Here is a 21,064-nt window from a genome sequence, read left to right as displayed (position 1 = left end):
GGCCAAGGCAGGTGGATCACCTGAGGTCAGGAGTTTGAGACCAGCCTGACCAATATGGTGAAACCCCATCTCTACTAAAAATACAAAAATTAGCTGGGTGTGGTGGCATGTGCCTGTAGTCCCAGCTAGTCGGGAGGCTGAGGCAGGAGAATTGCTTGAACCCGGGAGGCAGAGGTTGCAGTGCTGAGATGGCATCACTGCACTCCAGCCTGGGTGACAGAGTGAGACTCTCTCAAAAAAAAAATTATATTTATCAAAATGCCCCCTCTCCCCAAGATCACAGCTTAGTGAGACTCTCACACAAACAGCAATAATGCCGTAAGTATTAGACATAATGTAAAAAGTAGGTTTGAAAACACATGGGGAAATAATCACTGAGTAAGTGGGGGAAGTTTGAGGGGAAACTGTGAAAAAGAGGCTGTGTTTGAACATTGAAGGAGGAGGTCATAAGGTGGACATGAATGGGCAAGTGTCATTCTAGGAAAAGGGAACAGCACAAAGGGGTACAGGATAAGACAGTAAATGATATGCTGGTAGAGCAGGCGGCATGGCTACAGAGGGGGATTCATGGAGGAAGGGAGAGGAAAGAACTAAAGACGAGGGTGGGACATCTGTGAAGGGCCTTCCTTCTGCGCCTTGCTAAGGGACCTGAACTTTATTCTGTTGGGAATGGCAAGCCACCACAGCTTCTTAAAGTAGGGGAGTGATCTGAGCACGCCAATCTTTTTTTATGAGTTCAAATCATAAGAATGAAGAATGAGTTGGCATGGAACGAGACTGGCTGCAGGTGGGCCTCTTAAGGGCTATTGGAATAGTGTTCCCTTTCCTTTGTGAATTCAACGGCTCACAATGTTCAGGTTTGTGGTTTCTGTGTCGATACCCCTTTCACATGCAATGCAACGCTCTTTTCCATTAGCTCAGCTTCTTATTTATTAATTTAGAGATAGGGTCTCCCTCTGTTGCCCAGGCTGGAATGCAGTGGTACCATCTCGGCTCACTGCAACCTCCAGCTCCTGGGCTCAAGTGATCCTCCCACCTCAACCTCTGGAGTAGCTGGGATTACAAGTGTGCAACACGAAGCCCGGGACTACAGGCATGTGCCACGATGCCTAGCTAATTTTTAATTTTTTTTTGTAGAGATGAGGTCTCCCAGCCCTCCTTTTTTTTTTTTAAATCTTTAATGACTATATTCTAGTAAATAAACAAACAAAAATTCTACTAAAGTCAGAGAAACCAATTGGATCCTATACACTTTGTTCTGGTGCCAGCTACCACTAACTTACTGCATCACACAGGACAAGGATGGCATCTTCCAGGCCCTTATCCATCAAATGAATTGGTTGAAGCACCCTACTTAATGGATTCTAAAATGCATACTTTGCCACATTTAACATTCTGAAATTGAGATGTGTCTTAGAATTCATGGTGTCCTACAATTACTGTTGTCCCAGCAGCAGTAAAAATGTACTTGTCATTGCTTGTATATACCTAAATATCAAAAGCACCAACTTCAAAACTAGCAGAGTGGATGTAAAGGTCTTGGAAGGAAATCCCAGGGACAACTGTGGAATACTCTTTTAAAATTTAGAAAGCAGACAATCGTGGGGAGGTGACAATGCAGGTATGTTTAGCAGCACTCCTGAAGAGAGGCCCAGATTAGGACAGTTCCACATAATTACAGAGTGAGTTTAAGTGCCCAGTTCAATGGCTTTTAGTTTTAGTTTTGTTTTTTTACAGATTTTTTAAATTACCACTCGATGGCACAGAGGAAATTATTATGTGGAAAAGAACCAGATATGGATAAGTAAAATAGTGATCTAAAATGTTGGACTCTGAGTGTGAAGAAGTTTTAAGAATATCAACTAATGAATGCATTTCACTTACATTTCCCCTTTTAATGTATGCACAGGAGAGATATATGATTTTAAAAATCCATGTATATTCATAGCACATTTATTTGTAATTGCCAAAAATTGAAAACAATGTGAATGATAGTAAATGAATAAAAAACAAATTGTGACCAGGTGCAGTGGCTCACGCCTGTAGTCCCAATGTTTTGGGAGGCTGAGGCAGGAGGATTTCTTGAGCCCAGGAATTTGAGACCAGCCTGGGCAACACAGTGAGACCCCGTTTCTACAATTTTTTTTTTTAAAAATTAGCTGGGCATGGTGGCACATGCCTGTAGTCCCAGTTATTCGGGAGGTTGGGGTGGGAGAATTGCTTCAGCCAGGAGGTCGAGGATGCAGTGAGCTATGATTGCACCACTGCACTCCAGCCTGGGCAACAGAATAAGACCCTGTCCCTAAATAAATAAATAAAAATAAACAAATTGTCGTATATCCACATAATGGAATACTTCTCAGCAATAAAAGGGAATGAACTATTGATGTACACAAAAACATGGATGAACCTCAAAATAATTATAATGAGAGAAAGAAGACCAAAAAGAATGTATACTGCAGGATTCCATTTATCTAAAATTTTAGAACACATAAACTAATTTATATGACAGAAAGAAATCACAGTTGCTTAGGCATGGGAGAGAGGTGGGAGGGGCTGATGAGAGGAATGACATAGGGGCATGGGGAACCTTTTGGGGATGTTGCATATGTTTACTACCTTGATTGTGGTGATGGTTTCACACATACATGCATATATCAAAACTTATCAAACTGTACACTTGAAATATGTGCACTTTATTGTATGTCATTTACACTTCAGTAAAAAAGATTTCAAAAAACCTATGTGGAAGTCGAAAACAGCTCTTTCAATAAAGTAAAAATTATTATTATTTTTTGAGACACGGTCTCAGTCTGTTGCCAGGCTTGAGTTCAGTTGTATGTCAGTACAACTCACTGCAGCCTTGACCTCTTGGGCTCAAGCGATTCTCCCACATCAGTCTCCTAAGTAGCTAGGACTACAGGTGTGCACCACCATGCCGGGCTATTTTTTTTTTATTTTTTGAAGATACAGGATCTCACTATGTTGTCCAGGCTGGTCTCCAACTCCAGTCTTCAAACAATCCTCCCAGCCTGGCCTACCACAGTGCTGGAATTACAGGTATGAGCCACTGTGCCCAGCCAAAAATTTGTATTTTTTTTTTTTTTTGAGGCAGAGTCTCACACTCACACCCAGGCTGGAGTGCAGTGGCGCAATCTCGGCTCACTGCAAGCTCCACCTCCCGGGTTCATGCCATTCTCCTGCCTCAGCCTCCTGAGTAGCTGGGACTACAGGTGCCCGCCACCACGCCCGGATAATTTTTTTTGTATTTTTAGTAGAGACAGGGTTTCACAGTGTTAGCCAGGATGGTCTCGATCTCCTGACCTCGTGATCTGCCTGTTTCGGCCTCCCAAAGTGCTGGGATTACAGGCATGAGCCACCGTGCCCGGCCAAAAATTTGTATTTTTAAGAAAACATGTTATATTTTGATTGCCAGCCTTTTTTTCTTAGTGATACATAAAATACTGGAGAGTTTTACAATCAATGGTATCTTAGAGTTTATAAGATTCTATTTGAATTTTTTTTTTTTTTTAAAGACAGGGTCTCATTCTGTTGCCCAGGCTGGCTTGATCATAGCTAACTGCAGCCTCCAATTCCTGGGCTCAAATGATCTTCCTGCTTCAGTCCCTCGAGTAGCTGGGTCTACAGGTGTGTATCACCATGCCCAGCTAATTAAATTTTTTTTTCTTTTTTGCAGAGATGAGGTCTTACTATATTGCCCAGGCTGGTCTTGAATTCCTGGGCTCAAGCAATCCTCCTGCCTCAGCCTCCCAAAGTGCTGGAATTACAGGCATGAGCCACAGTGCCCAGCCTCTATTTGGATTTCTATTGCTGGATTCTCTAACTAAACCTAAACTCCCAATTTTTCTCTAAACAGAGTTGCCGTCTAGATTAATCTACCAGTCAGACACTCCCAACACTCAGACCAGCTTCAGACTCTCCCACTTTTTTTTCTGAGTCCAGCCGGTCAGCACCTCCTGCAGGTCCTTATTGCACAACATTTTTCACACCACCCCTTCTTTTCACTCTTGTTTCAGCCTTTTGTTCCTTCATACCTGCACTACTCTGATTGCATCTTGAAAGATTTCTGTTTTTCCCTGTAAGCTACCCAGAACACTATAATTGGATCATTTTTCTCAACACTGCTAACAAGCCACTTCCCTGGTTAAGAACTTACAATGGCTCCCTCTTGTCCACAGAATGAAATCCAGACAATCTAGCTCCAAAGCTCCCATGATTTGGCTTTAACCTGCACTTCCTGTTTTCTCTCTCGTTACTTTCCTGGGGAGCCCACTTCGGCTAAAATGGCTTATTTGCTCTCTGTGGTAGGCAGAATCATGGCCACCTAAATACGTCCTCCTCCTATTCCTCACATCTATATGTTACTTTACATGGCAAAACAAATGAGTTGTGATTAGATTAAGGATTAAGGATTTTTTTTTCTTTTTTTGAGACAGAGTTTTGCTGTTGTTGCCCAGGCTGGAGTGCAATGGCACGACCTCGGCTCACTGCAACCTCTACCTCCCGGGTTCAAGCAATTCTCCTGCCTCAGCCTCCAGAGTAGCTGCGATTACAGGCATGCACCACCATACCCAGCTAATTTTTTGTATTTTTAGTAGAGATGGGGTTTCACCATGTTGCCCAGGCTGGTCTTGAGCACCTGATCTCAAGTGATCCACTCACTTCGGCCTCCCAAAGTGCTGAGATTATAGGCGTGAGCCACCACGCCCAGCCCAGATTAAGGATTTAAAAATAGAAAGACCATTTTGGATGATCTGGGTGTGCCAATGTAATCCAAAGGACTCTTAAAAGATGGAAGAGGAAGGCAGAAGAGTCAGTGTCATGCAATTTTTTTGCTTTGAAGATGGTGGAAGGGGCCATGAGCCAAGGGATGTGGGCAGCCTCTGGAGGCTGGGAAGGGCAAGGACATGGATTCTCCCCTAGGGCCTTCAGAAAGGAATACAGTCCTGTGACACCTTGATTTTAGCCCAGTGACATGTGTTTCAGACTTCTAACTTCCACAAAAGTAAGAATAAGTTTGTATTGTTTTAAGCCACTGGATTTATGCTAATTTGTTACAGCAGCAATAGGGAATGAACACACCCTCTTACCCAAATACTTCCATTTTCCAGGATGATTGTTCTGGCTGTCTTCTGTTTGCACCTCCACATCCACTCCCCTGCTGCTCTGTGCTCCAGGAAGATGATCTATTTAGACTGTATCAATGGGTTCCCTTTCTGTCTGGCTTCTGTTTGGCCCACAGGGGGCACTAGCAGGAAACTGGAGAGCAGGGGAGGGGGAGATTGGGTCCAGAAGGTCACATCTCCCAAGAGGCAGCCCTCTCCATACAGCTGCCTGCCCCTGGCTGGCCTCAGGCCTTGGGTGGTAAGGGTTCCTTGTGCAGCTGGTGCCAGAGTTCTGCCTTGTTGGATTCCCTAAATCCTCCCCCCATCTTTGTAAATAGCCTCTTTATTAAATTTTTCTCAAGTTACTCGAGTGTATCCCGTTTCTTGTTGGGATGCTGGCTGATACATTAATATTACTTGGAATGCTGTTCTCTATTCTCATGGCCTATCTATGCGCTCTGCTCTTGAGACCTGGCTCAGATCCCAGTTCTGCAGGACCACAGAATGTCAGAGCTGAAAGAGTCCTTAAAGATTGCTCAATCCAGCAACATAGATGGTTTTTCTTCTATTTCTCTGACCATTTCTTTTTGGTCTCTTTTAGCAATTCTTCTTCCTCCACCTTAAATACTGGCATTCTTCAAGGTCTCATCTTATAAATTCTTCTATTTCCATACTACATATTCTCTCTGGAGGAACTCATCTGCCTCCAAAATTTTAATTATAATATATATCCAGGAGATTCCAAAATCTGTATCTTCATCCTAGACTTTTTTCCTGAGGGTTAGGCCCCTATATTTCCATCTGCCTAATTCACATCTCTCCTTGGCTGCCTCAGACACCTCAAATATGTCAGAAGTGCTCTCATCATCTTTCCTCCTCCAGAATCTCCCATTTCAGGAAATTGGCCGAAAAACCAGGGAGCCATCCTTAACATCTTCTCTCTCTCGTCTCTTTTCCAGCCATCAATCACCAAATCCTGTCCTTACCTAAACGTGTTGAGAATCCACCCACTTCACTCATCTGCATTGTCCACATTCAACCCTATCCCTTCCTGATCCATTCGCCATACAAATGGCCAAAGTGAGCACAGAGTTAAACAACTCTTCTCTAGTTACTTAAAATCCTCCAGTGGCTTCTGCTGCCTTGAGGATAAGGTTCAAATTCAGTCTGTCTTCTGTCATCTTCGTCAGCCTCATCCTGTGCTGCACTCCCCATCTCCTCCTGGCTCCAGCCTCCTGGCCCAATTCCAATGCCTGGATCATGCCTTATGTTGTTCTCTCTGCTCAGAACACTCTCACCCCACTCCCCTCTGGCTGACTGCTATCCTACTCATCCCCTGGTCTCATGCAAGCTTCACTTCTTCAGGGAAGCCTTGTTTGGACCTGGAGACAAGGTCTGGGTCACTCCCCATCTCCATGCTACCCCTTTAATCACATCTGTTCTTGGCTTTATTACAACTACTTGCTTTATCTCTATTTTCCTTGCTAATCTCTGTGAGGGAGGGGGACTGTATGAGTTTTATTCACTGATAAAATCCTGACTCCCAGCACAGTTCTTGATCTGAAGTAGGTATCCAATAAATATTGTGTAACAAATGTCATGTGAAAGAAATGAGTTCAAATGAACCCGCAGGTCCAGAGCTCATTCCACTCTATCCACTGCTTCCTCTCCCTGTGATGGAGCTTTCTGAGATCATCTAAGCCCACAGAAGTTGCCCCTTCCTCTAAATTTGTATGCCTACATCACCAATTTGACATATCTTGCTATCTTTTCATGTATGTTGCATGTATGGTTCTCTCTCCAGCTACACTACAAACTCCCAGAAAATAAGTGCCATGTCATACTTCAGTAGGAAAATACATTAATTAATTAAAATAACATGTTCATACTATGTAACAGTAGCTGTTAAAACAAATTGCCTATGTTGTGTCAATGTACCAGGGGATCTCAAAGTCAGAGGAGAAAAAAAAAACTTGCATCCTCCTGGAGCACAACTTTGATCTGAAGATTTGGGGAAAAGCTAGTTATTATTATTATTATTATTATTATTAGAAATAGGGTCTCACTCTGTTCCCCAGGCTGGAGTGCAATGATGTGATCATAGCTCACTGCAGCCTTGTACTCCTGAGCTTAAGTGAACCTCTTGCCTCAGTATTCCCCCCACCTCCTTTGACCCCAGCTGAGACTACAGGTATGTCCCACTATACTCAGCTAGTTTTTAAATTTTTTGTAGAGACAGGGTCTCGCTACATTGCCCAGGCTGTATTTTTAAAAAGCAAATATAGAAATACTGTGGAGAAGAATGCAGTATTCTCATAGCTTTTAAAGTCAAATCAAAGCTTTTCCAGCTCATGGCTGGTCTGCTTTTGCCCCCACCAAGGCTGCCCAAGGGCTCCCATTTGTCTTCCGTCCTGTTAGCAATGCTGCCGTGGGAAGTTAGCAAGCACTGCTACAGCCTCCCCTCCAGTGGTGTGTCTGTCCCATGGCAAGCATTTAACATGCAATATGATGCTAATGTACATGCTGGAGTGAAGCAAATGCCTAACAAGGCTTCCAGGAGTCCTGGTGGGCAAGTACAGGAGCCAGTTAGGAAAACAGAAAATAGGATTAAAGACTTGAGCTGATGGAAGCATGACTTGGGCCCTTAAATAACTCTTCCTATTATCCAAATATACAAGCCTTGGGAAGGAAAATAAGGAGTATGGCTTTTTTTTTTTTTTTTTTTTTTTGAGACGGAGTCTGGCTGTGTCGCCCAGGCTGGAGTGCAGTGGTGCGATCTCCGTTCACTGCAAGCTCTGCCTCCCGGGTTCACGCCATTCTCCTGCCTCAGCCTCCCGAGAAGCTGGGACTACAGGTGCCCGCCACCACGCCCAGCTAATTTTTGTATTTTTAGTAGAGACGGGGTTTCACCATGTTGGCCAGGCTGGTCTCGAGCTCCTGATCACAGGTGATCCACCTGCCTTGGCATCCCAAAGTGCTGGGATTACAGGCGTGAGCCACCACGCTCAGCCCTCTTTATTCTTTTTAATATGTCTTCAATATTTCATAATTTTAAACAATTAGTGCACCGATTTGCACCAGAACCAAATCCACATTTTCTAAAACTAGTAAATTAGAACAGAATCTGCATATCAATGTATCCTCCAACAAAACATGAATTGATCTTAGATATTTAATTCATTTCTGGCTGCTGGGCAAATATAACACAGCAACCGCCTGTTTTGTAATGTAGCTATTTGAAGATGGGCCAATTAAGTTTGTTTTATTTTAAACAACTAAAAGACTTCTATATATTCTGGGAAATACTTGCAGAGGATGAAGGACAGAATGAGGCGGGATAAGGAGAAGTCTCAGTCTGAAATATGGTACGGCAATGGGAAGGAACAAGCTGAAAGAGGAAAGAGGAACAGATCTTACTAGAATGCAGAGCTCGTATTTCCCAATCTTACAACACAAACTTGCCAAAGATTAAATCATACTTGAAAAACAAGGTGCCCACTAGTGACTGCTCCTGTCCAAGGTTAGAAGAACACAGAAGACTAAAAGCACGGGCCTTGGAGTTAACCAACCCAAGGTCTGATGGTGCAGATATGTGTGCAGTGACAACCTCTCCAAACTTCTGGTCCTTCCTCAGTAAAACATGCAAAGAACAGTACTTATCTCAGAAGGCTGAGGTGACACTTAAGGTGACCATGTACATATTAGGCGCAGTGTCTAGCAAGCGCAAGCCCTCAGTCAAAGCTATTTCTCTTTCGTCCTTGGTTGTGGAATAATCTCGTGTTTTAGGTGTTCTTTCCCTCTGTTTTCCCCATCAAGATCTGCTGAATATAAAGAGGCAAAACCTGTAAGAGCTGCGGGTCAGCATTGCCAGGTGTAGAAAGCCACCATAGTGTAAGCTAGCCAAGCTATGAGATAGATTTCCACCTGGGTAGGAAGCAGTCAAAAAGCCAAAAAGTCTTGCTGTCTGCCCAGCCTGCCTCTTGGTTTCTAATTCTCATGGCGGGTCCTATTTCCCGCTGTTGTCTTGTCCCTGTGTTTGGCCTTCTTTTCTGTTTTTAGAGGAGTTCCTCTTGCTTGACCTCTATTTATCTCCTTGCCTTCCACTTGGAGATCTGCGCCTTTCTGGGTTTTAACTGCCTGTTGCTTTTAACCATGTCCTTCCTCTTGCCTTTGGGAACTTATGGGCTTCTTCTAACTTCCTGATTGGCACCGGGTTTCCTGCTTTTTGTCCTTTGATTCATGTGCCCTCCTTTCTTCTGCTTGCTTATGTGGTCTTTGACTCACTCATCTTGTCTCTTTCTTTGGCATTTTATACCAGCTAGGTTTTGATCCAGGTTTTGTAATGACTTATGGATGCTGTATGCACCCTGACTTGTGAGTGCTTACCTAGATGATGTGCAAAACATTTAGCAACTGGTATAGAAGGGACACTGCCCAGTCAGAATGGTTGTTTATCAACAATGAGGACAGTTGTCCCCATGCACACCGCTTGAATAGCAGCCCAGCTCACTGGACTCCACACTCCTCTAACCACTCTGATGAGGGACCTCCTGGTCCTTTCTTAGGGCTTGTGCCCCAGCTTGTCTCCTTTCTCCTCATGTCCAGGCTTGGCATGGCTGGCCTTGTGCCCTATTTTGTGAGCTCCTGCCACTCACAGTCCTGGAGTTGACTTTCTCATCCCCACCCTACCTAGCTCTCACCAGGGGAACCTAGGAATAGTGATGACACATGTGAAAGAGGTAATTAGTGGGGCAGCCTTGATGCCAAAACAGGATGGCAAATCATAAAAGCAGAAATAGCAAGAAATCACAGCTTTAAGGAAGGTTGTGCTGAAACATGGGACCAAGGCCAAGGAACTCAAAATGGCTTTGGGAGGAAAGGTGGCTATTTCAGTCCATGGAAGAGCCATAGCAGAAGAGCGCATCTCATTTTACACAACCACGAAGCCTTAAAGTTACGTAGAATTGACTTTTTGGTGTGCTGAAAATAAAAATGGTTCATAGTATACAACAAAGGACTAAGCAGGAGAATTTATAGGAAGAAAGTTAGGAAATTTAGGATGAAAAAGTAGACTGGGGTCAAACTGTTATGATCCATTAAAACCAGAAACTGAAATTTGAATTCTAATCTGTAAGTAATGTGAAGCACAAATACTTACAACTTACACATTTAATCATATGTCCTGACCTTTCACTCAAAAATGCATTAAAGGCAGTTTCTCAAAGGTGGTTCCATGTAACGATAGCCCCTCAAGATATTTTTCATTTTTTATTTTTGCACACAGTTTGGGAAACATTACATATCACATCCTATGGACATTCCCACCCCATTTACATCCCCATATACAATGATCATTAACCCATGAAAGGCTCTGAAAAGTCAAGAATAAACCAACTTGTCCAGCTTTGTTTAGTGTTTTCCACATCTGGCTAGGCAATTTCTTTTTCTTGTAACCCATTAACATTCTATGTATTTTGGGGAATACTGACTGAGAGATTCACAAGTACACACAGACATTCATGCAAGTAAATATGTATACTTTAAATTAGTATTTTCATGTATACATAAACACATATAATCCAGGTAAAGCAAAAATATCTTTGCAGCAAGGGATTCCGTGTAAGAGATTAAGTGTTGTAAGAGTTGATTCTGTTTTCGTGGTCTGGTAACAGGAAGTCTCTTCTGCACATGCCTTCTATGAACCTCTTTGAACCACTTAAAGTCTATAAGGAAAACATTTGGTTGTATATGATTTACACACAAGGGAATGAGAGGAAACCCCAAAACTTCTATCCTATCACAAAGCTAAATCATTTTTCCCCCAACACTACCCTAACCCAAAATAAAATGAACCACTGCCTATGTTCTCAAACTTCCTTACACACTGACACAGATCTCGGACACAGAGAGGAAAGGGACAGCACTTTCGGGATGGTTCTTGGGTAGGGCTAGAATTTCTTAGGTATGGAGAATTACTAATACTTTGAAGTTGAAGCTAGAGGATGGGGTACTTAAGCATAAATGATTGAGAGTAGCCAAGATAAACCAAAAATGGGAACACCAACCCCCCGTCCCCCCCACTCACACCTCCAATAGGTGATTTCAATTTTGGGAAGGTGAAGCCAAGAAATTCCCCACAGATTCACTGCAGCTGTTTGTCACGAACCACCCCCGTCTTCTACAACACTTTCTCTTTATTCGCTTATTTATTTTATTGACTTCCCCATTTCTTAAAGTTCAAATCTATAGAAAAGTTAAAAGAATAGTACAATAAACATTTGTTTTCTTCTTGATTCACCAACCGTCATCATTCTGCCACATTTGCTACGTTCCTGAACTTGTTCTGCTACCCCTATCCTTTTTTTTTTTTTTCTGACACAGCTGAAAGTTGCAGATGTCATGACACTTCACCTCCAATATCCACATCTCCAAAGAATAAGGATTGTCTGGTCTAGGTAACCACAAGAATGAACTATTATTGCACCTAAGAAAATTAACACCAATTCCATAATATCATCTAACATGCAATCCATATTCAAACATCCCCAACTATCTCCAAATTGTCTTTTATAGCTTTTTTTTTTGCATCTAGGATTCAAAGTTCACACATCCCAATTCACTATTGTATCACTTGAGTATTTTAACCTACAATAGTTGCTCCCATTTGCTCTGCCCCATCGCCAAGTCTTTTTGCAGGAACACTACAGAGGTGAAATTATGCCTCCTTATTGCTTCACAACGGGAGACTCGCAGTAGATGCTGCTAAACTTGGTCATTTGGTTCCAGTGGTGACCTCCTAATTTCTCCATTGTAAGGACAAATTTTCCCAGAGTAAACTGTGGTGAGATACTTTGAAATAATATGAAAATCCTATTCCCCAACCACCTTTCACTCAAAGGTTTTGGACCAGTTGGTAAGTCCTTGCCTTATTCAACTGTTATGTTAGGTTTGCAGAGCGCCGAGTTCCTGATTCTCTCATTCCTTCTATTGCATATTTCTTTTTCAAACAATGATCCATCAGTACGCAACTTCTCTTTTCTGTGTATACACATTCTGGTTACTTCTTGCTGGGGCTTCCTCCCCGACCTCCATGCTGACCACATTTGACCACTCGTGCCCAGCCCTAGGGAGCCACTAATCCTTTATCTGCTGATCCCATCACTTCACCTTCAGCAAATTAAAGACAAAAACAAACCCCATCATTTTGTTGCCCACCAATGTACAGTACCTTACAAAAATTAAAATGATTGCAATGCGTATTTATTGGGTTAGACTGAAGAGAGTCGATCGAGAAAATCAGTTTTATCTTTAAAAAAAAATCAGATTGCTGAAGCTCTGAAAAATCTTTCCTCCTCACTAGGGTAGAGGCGCTTGTTGTCACAATTAGGCTTTTTGTAGTGCTGTTAAACAGAAACACTCTCATCTTTTCAGTTCCCTGAGAGGGGAGAATCTTGGAAGAACAGAGGTTTACAAATCATTTAGCCCAAACGCCCCTTTACATGCAGAGGCCCAGAGAGGTGGAGGGACTTGCCCAGGTCCCTCAGCTCCTGAATGGTCAAGCTAAGAGGAGAACCTGGTTTTTAAAACACCTCCCCCGATCTTCTTTTCATTCCCGTCCTAAATGCCTCGTGATTCAGATATGTAATGGGCACAGACGAAGCTGCAGTAAGCACGGCCTCCTTCACTGCTAATTTGCATTGTGACGGCATCACCTTCCTACCTCTGAATACTCTAAAAATTCCCATTAGAAGCCTTTTATTACTGTTTTAAAAATCCACCTTCATTTCCGCAGGTCAACAGGGAACATTTAGGAAGCCTCAAGGGAGCACATACTACAATTACTTTAACCAGAAAAGTAATAACAATAATAATAAGGTTCTCGAGGATCCGCACGAGGCCGCTTACTGGGAGGCTGAAACGCCCTGCGAGTGACAGCTCCAGCGATCTCAGGAAAGACGCCGGCCAGTCCACCCCTCCCCATCGCCTGCTGAACGAGGCAGGGAGATGCATACCGCTCCAGGAGCTCACCAAACATGCACAGGAAGGGGAAAAGTGGGGGAACAAAGCCCGGAGTGGAAGAACACAGCCCCGCAGCCCGGGAGGACAGGAGACCGCGCCCTCCCCGCTGCGGCCCAGCGGGCTGCAGAGGCTGCGGCACCGCAGTGCGGGGCGCGGGACTCACACCCCGGCGGGCGCCTCCCGCCCGGGCGCAGCGCCTGGTCTCCCGGCGCAGCCGACCGGGCCGGGAGGCGAGAGGCGAGAGGCGGCCCGGCTCTGCACGCCCGCCCGGCCGACCGCCCATGTCGCGGAGCATCCTCCCGCGGGCAGGGAGGGCACGGCGGCCACCGCGCTGCGGGCCCGGGGGCTGCAGACACCGGCTGTCCAGAACAGGCCCCACCCGCCCCCCGGGGCGCTCACCCGTCCGTGCGCTCATCCCGGAGCCGGCTGTGCTGGCCGTCAGTCCGTCAGCCCCGGTGGAGCGGGGCCGGGAGAACAGGGGCGGCGCCGTGGCCGGGGCGAGCGCGGCGATCAACAGGCGGCTCCCGGCCGGGCGCGGCGCCGGGGCGCGCGGCTGCAGCGGAGCAGGCTGGGAAGCGTAGTTCCCGGCTGAGCCTCGCCGCGGCCCCGCAGTCCCCCAGCCCCGCCCTTCCCCGACAGGTGTCCTCTCCCGGAATCGGGGTCTGAACCCCGCCACAGCTCTGCAGGGGAGGAAGCACCTGGGTCGGGGAGAAGCCTGGGCAGGCTCTTTGGAGACGCTCGGGGCTCCGGAGAGCGTGGATGGCAAAGGCTTTCAAGCCTGTGATGAGCATTCCTGTGAGCGAGCATCCTGACACGGAAGCCGCGTTGAGAGCGGTCTCAGGTACAGACCCCGCCCGCCCCAGGTTTTCCTGGCTGGGCGTGGGCGTGGGAGGAGAGAGTAGTTGGGTTGGCAGCCTAGGGAGGGAAGGAGGTAAGCGAGGTGGAAGTTAGCAAGGCTCTAGGGTGATGGCGTGAGGGGCTGGAGAGCCCAAGCGCAGTGGCGGCTTCACTGAGGTGAGACCGGACAACTTAGCCTGTCTGAGCCTTCGCGTCCTCATCTGTAAAACAGGCTTCAAGCTTGAAAAAGTGTTGTGAGGATTAAGCGACCCATAGCACTTAGGATCTGGCACTTAGTGCATACTCAGTGAAAGTTCCTTCCTTGGGGTTTCCGAGGGAGTTCTTGGGCCGGGAAAGTCCTATATGTCGTGCTAACCTAAAGATAGTTGGACCTCGTTGGGCTGGGTAAATGTTAAAATCCACTGGGTTTGTTAGTCGTTGAGCCCGTTCACTTCATCCCTGAATATACCCTGAGATGTTCTGTCTGCCAGGTTCTTGAGAGCTCCAAAGATAGAGAAAATAAAGTCAAGTTTCTGAAGCATGACAGCAGAGTGGGGTGACATAGGACAAAGACCAACATTATGAAAATACATGGCATCTAGATTTAACTTCCAGAGGCCTTTTCTAATTAGATGTGATATCTCTCTCCTTCTTGAACTTTTGCAGCATATTTTGAGCATAACCTTTGCTTATGGGACTTATCTTGGCAGTCTAAGGTTCGTTGAGTTTTGCAAGTTGCTGCTATGCAGTGTTTCACATGATGGTGGGATTTGCATTCACAGATGTAGTGGAGGAAAATGAACCAAAGGGATGGATGCAGCATGGCTGGTGTAATCTCTATATGAAATTTTAGGCAAAATGTGAAAAGAGGTGAAACAGCTTTATAGTCTGTCTGGCACGAGGTGTGCAGTAATCGTGTGGCCAAAAAAACGTGCTGCAGAGGAAATTCCACATCTGAAAATGATAACACTGGTTTGCATTTATGAAAATACTTTCCTATTTGTGTTCTCATTTGATTTTTACAAGAACCCTTGTGAGACAGGCAGAGTGAAGGTATTTTTCCCCAATGATAGTTAATAAGAGGCACAGAGAGGTGATGTGACTTATTCAAGGTCATAGGGGTGTTCAGTAAGCCTGTCTTCTCTCCTTCCACTGTGGGCACCCCCAGCACTGTCTCCCTTTTGCACATTGCAAAATAGGGCCATACCTTCCCCAGCAGATGGGTTGAACCAGAAAGTAAAGTTAATCCTCTAAAACTCTGGGAACTAGCATGATGAACACTGGCACGCAGTGGCTGCTGACTGAGAGACCAGTGTTGTTTCTATGATCAATTGTGGTAATGGACTATATCTTGGGCCTCCTGTCAGAATGACAAATCTGAGCCAGAAAGAGTTAAATGAAATGGGGGTGTGACCAAATTACTTTAAGTCATGTTCCCAAGTTTTCCTGTACATTTGTTATTCCGAATGTCCTGTGTAACCGACAGGATGCCTTTGACTTTTTTATGTTGTACATTTGTTACAGTCATAGCCTTCTGTTAAATAAGAACAGGGCTGCTTACGGATCGAGCCAGCAGTTTTCCCAGAGAAAGCTGATAGTAGGCATATGCTGAAAATAATAAAGCAATTTCATTCATATTGGAAGAAAGAGTAGCAAAGGTGCTCAGTAGTGTACAGTATTTCTCTTTGGTTTCCCGTGGTTCTGCACGAGGAAAATGGCTGCATGTGATAAAACGAATAGAGTATTCCTTCAGAAACTAGCCATGAAAGGAAGCAGACAGGGGAATGATTTAAGTTAAAGTCATGTTCGGCAGTCGAAGCAGAGATACAAGAGCTATCCTACAGCCCCAGAGCCATGCTCCAGGAGGATGCTGACACCAAAATAAAGTGAGTTGTGAAAAGAAACTTCTGATCAGTCTCTGTCTGTATGATGAGTGTTGGAAGCTGGAAGGTGTTAAAGGATGAGTGAGGGAAGTAGAACATTTAACCTAATGTTAAAACTTAATGGAAAGATATTACCAGTTCCAGTCTGTTTAGCTCTTTAAATCTATTGCCTATGTCTTATCTTAAGGAAGAAAGGATGTCAATATGCCTATGACTTATCAGTTGAAACCCATGATCATTTCTGGACCATATCTTGTAAGTTTAACTTTTCTACTTGCTTTTTAGAAGATGAAAATGTAAAATTGAAACAGAACTCCTGGAGCTGGAAGGGACCTTACATATCATTTTGTGTAGCCATTTCTTCCTGTAAATGAGGAAGCTGATATATTGACTGTAATTGTCAAATGGCAGAAAGGAAAAAAGTTCAACGTGGCAGTTATAATGAAGTATTTTAATTATTCACAGTGGAATATGTAGCACACCTCATTAGGAACAGGTAGTAGACACTGTTGGTTGTCTATTAAACATTCAGTCCACCCTCTTCTTCTTTATAGAAGCCTATATGGGTGTTTACACATTAGGAAAGGTGACCCTATTAGCCTCTGAGAGGTACACTCTCAAATCTATCATAGACAAGAGGAATAGAATCCTCTTAACTGGCCTGTAAGAGTTTAGGAGTGGACATGTGACCCAGTTCTGGCCATTGTAAAGAGATACGATGAATCTGGGTCGGCCATATTGTTGTTGAGTCAGTCATCAACCAGCCCCAGTGCTGCCCTTCTTCTGGATTTCTTGTTATATGAGATAATAAATAACCTTATTGTTGAGTCAATTTGAGATGGAGTTTTCTGTTACTTGAAGCTGAAAGCATCCTAAGTGTTAAAGATGAAATGTGAAAGTACATTCTTTGGATGGACTGAAAGACTGCTTCCTAGAGTTGATTAAAAACAACCACCACAAACCACAGGCAATGTGATGGGATATTATCATATAACAGATAACAACATGGGTTTTAACATCAGAGAGTTTGAACCCAGATATTTACTGGCACAATGACTATGGCCAAGTTTCTGTAACCTCCCTTAAGCCTCATTTTCTTCATCTTTTTTTTTTTTTTTTTTTTTTTTTTTGAGACGGAGTCTTGTTCTGTCACCAGGCTGGAGTGCAGTGGTGCGATCTTGGCTCACTGCAACCTCTGGGTTCAAGCGATTCCCCTGCCTCAGCCTCCTGAGTAGCTGGGACTACAGGTGCTGCCACTACACCCGCCTAATTCTTTGTATTTTAGTAGAGACGGGGTTTCACCATGTTGACCAGGATGGTGTCGATCTCCTGACCTTGTGATCCACCTGCCTCGGCCTCCCAAAGTGCTGGGATCACAGGCGTGAGCCACCGGGCCCGGCCTTCTTCATCTCTTAAACTGAGGATAATAATACTTACCACATGGGGTTATTAGAAAGACTAACTGAGATAATTTGTGTCAAAGATGCTTCAAAGGATATGGTGGATGATAAAGACTAAAGGAGCAGTGACTATGTTGATGAATTATGAATTAAATCGTATGTGTAGTATAATTGACAGCAAACATCTAAAAGCTAATTACTATGTAATCATGATCATGTTAAATGATACCACAGTGATGCAATCAGCAAAATCCAAAATATAGGAAGCTCTACATGACAAACAACTGATTCTTCAATAAATAAATTGCAAGAAAAATAAAAGGAGAGAAAGCTTATAGATACACAGAAATTCAAGAGACAAATAACAAAATGTAATGTGTGATCTTAATTTGAGAAAGCAGCTGTTAAAAATTCACATTAATGAGACAATTAGGGAAAATGTGAACACAGAATATTTGATTATATTAAGGTCTGTTTTCTAAAATTATTATTATTATTTTGAGACAGAGATTTGCTCTTGTTGCCCAGGCTGGAGTGCAATGGCGTGATCTCGGCTCACCACAGCCTCCACCCCCTGGGTTCAAGCGATTCTCCTGCCTTAGCCTCCCAGGTAGCTGGGATTACAGGCATGCGCCACCACGCCTGGCTAATTTTGTATTTTTAGTAGAGATGGGGTTTCTCCATGTTGGTCAGGCTAGTCTCAAACTCCTGACCTCAAGTGATCCGCCTGCCTCAGCCTCCCAAAGTGCTGGCATTACAGTTTTTGTTGTTGTTGTTGTTGTTGTTGGTTTTGAGACAGAGTCTTACTCTGTTACCCAGGCTGGAGTGCAATGGCGTGATCTCGGCTCACTGCAACCTCTGCCTCCCGGGTTCAAGCAATTCTCATGTCTAAGCCTCCCAAGTAGCTGGGACTACAGGCGTGTGCCACCAAGCCCGGCTAATTTTCGTATTTTTTTTTTTTTTTTTTTTTTTTTAGTAGAGACAGGGTTTCACCATGTTGGCTAGGCTGGTCACGAACACCTGACCTCAAGTGATCTGCCTGCCTTGGCTTCTCGAAGTGTTGGGATTACGGGCATGAGCCACCATGCCTGGACTAAGGTGTTATTTTAAAAAATTTTTTGATGTGACAACAGTATCATGATTATTTTTTTGAAGAGTCCTTACTTTTTGGAGCGATAAACTGATTATTTACAGAAGAAATAATATCAGGAATTTACTTTAAAAATTATCGAGTGTGGGAGACGGGGTAGAGTGGTGGGGTGGGGTATAGATGAAATGATTGGCCATGAGTTGATAATGGTTGAAGCTGAGTGTTGGAGCTTTATTAAACCATTCTCTCTCTTTCTCTCTCTCTAAATACAGTTTTGTTAAGACATATTTCACATATCATAAATTCACCTTTTTAAAATGCACAGTTCAATGGTTTTTAGTATATTCACAGAGTTGTGTAACTATCTCCCAATCTATTATAACTTTAGAACGTTTTCAAAACTTCAGAAGAAACCACAGACATGTTAGCACTCATTCCTCATTCCCCCTACACACCCAGACTCTGGCAATCACAAATTTATTTTTTGTCTTCTCTAGATTTGCTTATTCTGGATATTTCACGTAAATGGAATCATACAACATGTTGTCTTTTATGACTGGCTTCTTTCCCTAATTATAATATTTTTAGGGTTCATCCATGTTGTAATACACATTAGTACTTTATTCTTTTTTATGGCCAAATAGAATTCATTGCATGGATAGACCACATTTTGTTTATCTGTTCATCAGTGGATGGACATTTAGACTGCTTCCACAGTTTTGCTGTTATGAATAATGTTGCTATGCACACTCATATACAAATTTTTGTACAGATATATTTTTATTTCTCTTGGGTATATATCTAGGAGTGCAATTACTGTGTCATATGGTAACTTTATATGAAGCATATTGAGGGACCACCAAACTGTTTTCCAAAGTATCTGCACCATTTTACATTCTAACCAGCAATGGGTGAAAATTCCAATTTCTCCACATCCTTGCTAACACTCGTTAATGTCTTTTTAAAATTATAGCCATCCTAGTTAATATGCAGTGGTATCTCATTGTGATTTTAATGATTTCCCTAATGACTAATGATGTTGAACATTTTTTCATGTGCTTACTTGCCATTTTATATCTTCTTTGGAGAAATGTCTATTCAAATCCTTTGCCTACTTTATTTTTCAGTTGGACTATTTGTTTTATTGCTATTGATTTATAAAAGTTCTTTATATGTTCTAGACACAAGTGCCTTATTAGATATGCGATTTGCAAATGTTTTCTCCCATTGTGTGTGTGTGTGTGTGGTGTGTGTTTTTAACTTTCTGGATGGTGTTCACTGGTAAACATCCCTTGCTAGTTTGAGGGAGTTCCTGTTTATTCCCACTTTGTTGAATGTTCTTATAACAAAAGGGTGCTGGATTTCATCAAAGACTTTTTCTGTGTCTGTTGAGAGGGTCCTGTGGGTTGTTTTTCCCTTTATTCTGTTAATATATTGTAATACATTGATTTTCAGGTGTTAAATTTACCATTAATTCCTGGGATAAATCCCAGTTGGTCATGGTATATAATCTTTCTACATGTTGCAAGGTTTAGCTTGCTAGTATTTTGTTGAGAATTTTTGTGTCTACATTCATAAGAAATATTAGTCTGTAGTTTTTTTTTCTTGTTATGTCTTTGGTTTTGGTACTAAGGTAATACTGGCACTATAAAATGAGTTAGAAAGTGTTCTATTTTTTTGGAAGTGTTTGCAAAAGATTAATATTAGTTTTTCTTTAAATGTTTGGTATAAATCACCAATGAAGCTATCTAGGTCTTGGCTTTTCTTTGTTGGAGGTTTAAAAATGACAAATTCAGTGTTTGCTTGTCCTATGTCTATTCAGATTGTGTATTTCTTCTTGAGTCAGTTTTGTTAGTTCATGTCTTTCTAGGAATTCATTCACTTTATTTAAGTTATCTAATTTGTTGTCACACAGTTGTTCATAACATTCTTTATTATTCTTTTTATTTCTCTAAGATCAGTAGTAATATCCCCTTTTTTATTTCTGATTTTAGAATTTGAATCTTCTCTTTTTTTTCTTGGTCAGACTAGGTAAAGGTTTGTCAATTTTGTCGATCTTTTCAAAGAATACACTTTTGGATTTGTTGACTTCCTTGATTGTTTTTCTAGTCTCTGTTTCATTTATCATAACTCAGATGGTTTAGCTGGTGAATTCTACCAAACATTTAAGGAAGAATGATACTAATTCTCCACAACCTCTTTCAGAAAACAGAAGCAGAGGAAACACTTCTTAACTAATTCTATAATGCCAGTTTTGCTCCAATATCAAAACTAGACAAAAATATTACAAGAAAAGAAAATTATAGGCCAATATCTCTCATGAATACACATGTAAAAGTCCTCAACAAAATATTAAAAAATTGAATCCAACATTTTATAAAAAGAATTATACACCACAACCAAGTAGGATTAATTCCAGGTAAACAAGGCTGGTTCAACATTCAAAAAAATTAATTAATATAATCTATCACATCAACAGGCTAAAGAGGAAAAAAGTCATATGATTATATCAATAGATGCAGAAAAAACTTTTGACATAGTTCAACATCCATTCATACTAAAAAGTCCTCAGCAAACTGAGAACAGAGGGGTACTTCCTCAATTTGATAAAGAACATCTATGAAAAACTCTACAGTCAACATTATATTTAATGGTGAGAAGCTAGATGCTTTTCCCCCAAGATTGGAAACAAGGTAAGGGTATCCCCTG

The 21,064-nt window shown here is 42.7% G+C and overlaps 2 protein-coding genes across 3 annotated transcripts in view, besides 4 other annotated features; one reads left to right on the top strand and one right to left on the bottom strand.

Moving 5' to 3' along the window:
* The window catches only part of TMOD2 (tropomodulin 2), a 64,767-nt gene extending 51,107 nt beyond the window's left edge, over window positions 1-13,660 (bottom strand). For both annotated transcript variants that reach the window (NM_014548.4, NM_001142885.2), the window contains exon 1: window positions 13,545-13,660. The gene's annotated coding sequence lies outside the window, so the exon portion shown is untranslated. The remainder of the gene's footprint in view (window positions 1-13,544) is intronic.
* Window positions 13,247-13,306: a silencer, noted in NCBI's record as "silent region_6440". NCBI's record gives its function as "represses an Ori minimal core promoter by ATAC-STARR-seq in GM12878 lymphoblastoid cells {active_cell/tissue: GM12878}" and the evidence as "EXISTENCE:reporter gene assay evidence [ECO:0000049][PMID:35858748]".
* Window positions 13,337-13,446: a silencer, noted in NCBI's record as "silent region_6439". NCBI's record gives its function as "represses an Ori minimal core promoter by ATAC-STARR-seq in GM12878 lymphoblastoid cells {active_cell/tissue: GM12878}" and the evidence as "EXISTENCE:reporter gene assay evidence [ECO:0000049][PMID:35858748]".
* Window positions 13,497-13,926: a silencer, noted in NCBI's record as "silent region_6438". NCBI's record gives its function as "represses an Ori minimal core promoter by ATAC-STARR-seq in GM12878 lymphoblastoid cells {active_cell/tissue: GM12878}" and the evidence as "EXISTENCE:reporter gene assay evidence [ECO:0000049][PMID:35858748]".
* The window catches only part of LYSMD2 (LysM domain containing 2), a 28,441-nt gene continuing 21,182 nt past the window's right edge, over window positions 13,806-21,064 (top strand). The window contains exon 1 of the mRNA NM_001143917.2: window positions 13,806-13,986. The gene's annotated coding sequence lies outside the window, so the exon portion shown is untranslated. The remainder of the gene's footprint in view (window positions 13,987-21,064) is intronic.
* Window positions 14,037-14,106: an enhancer, noted in NCBI's record as "active region_9407". NCBI's record gives its function as "activates an Ori minimal core promoter by ATAC-STARR-seq in GM12878 lymphoblastoid cells {active_cell/tissue: GM12878}" and the evidence as "EXISTENCE:reporter gene assay evidence [ECO:0000049][PMID:35858748]".

The sequence above is a fragment of the Homo sapiens genome, chromosome 15 (genome assembly GCF_000001405.40).
Source record: "Homo sapiens chromosome 15, GRCh38.p14 Primary Assembly".
NCBI lineage: Eukaryota > Metazoa > Chordata > Mammalia > Primates > Hominidae > Homo > Homo sapiens.
Note: the sequence above shows the minus strand (reverse complement) of the source record. Positions and strands in the feature narration are given on the sequence as shown.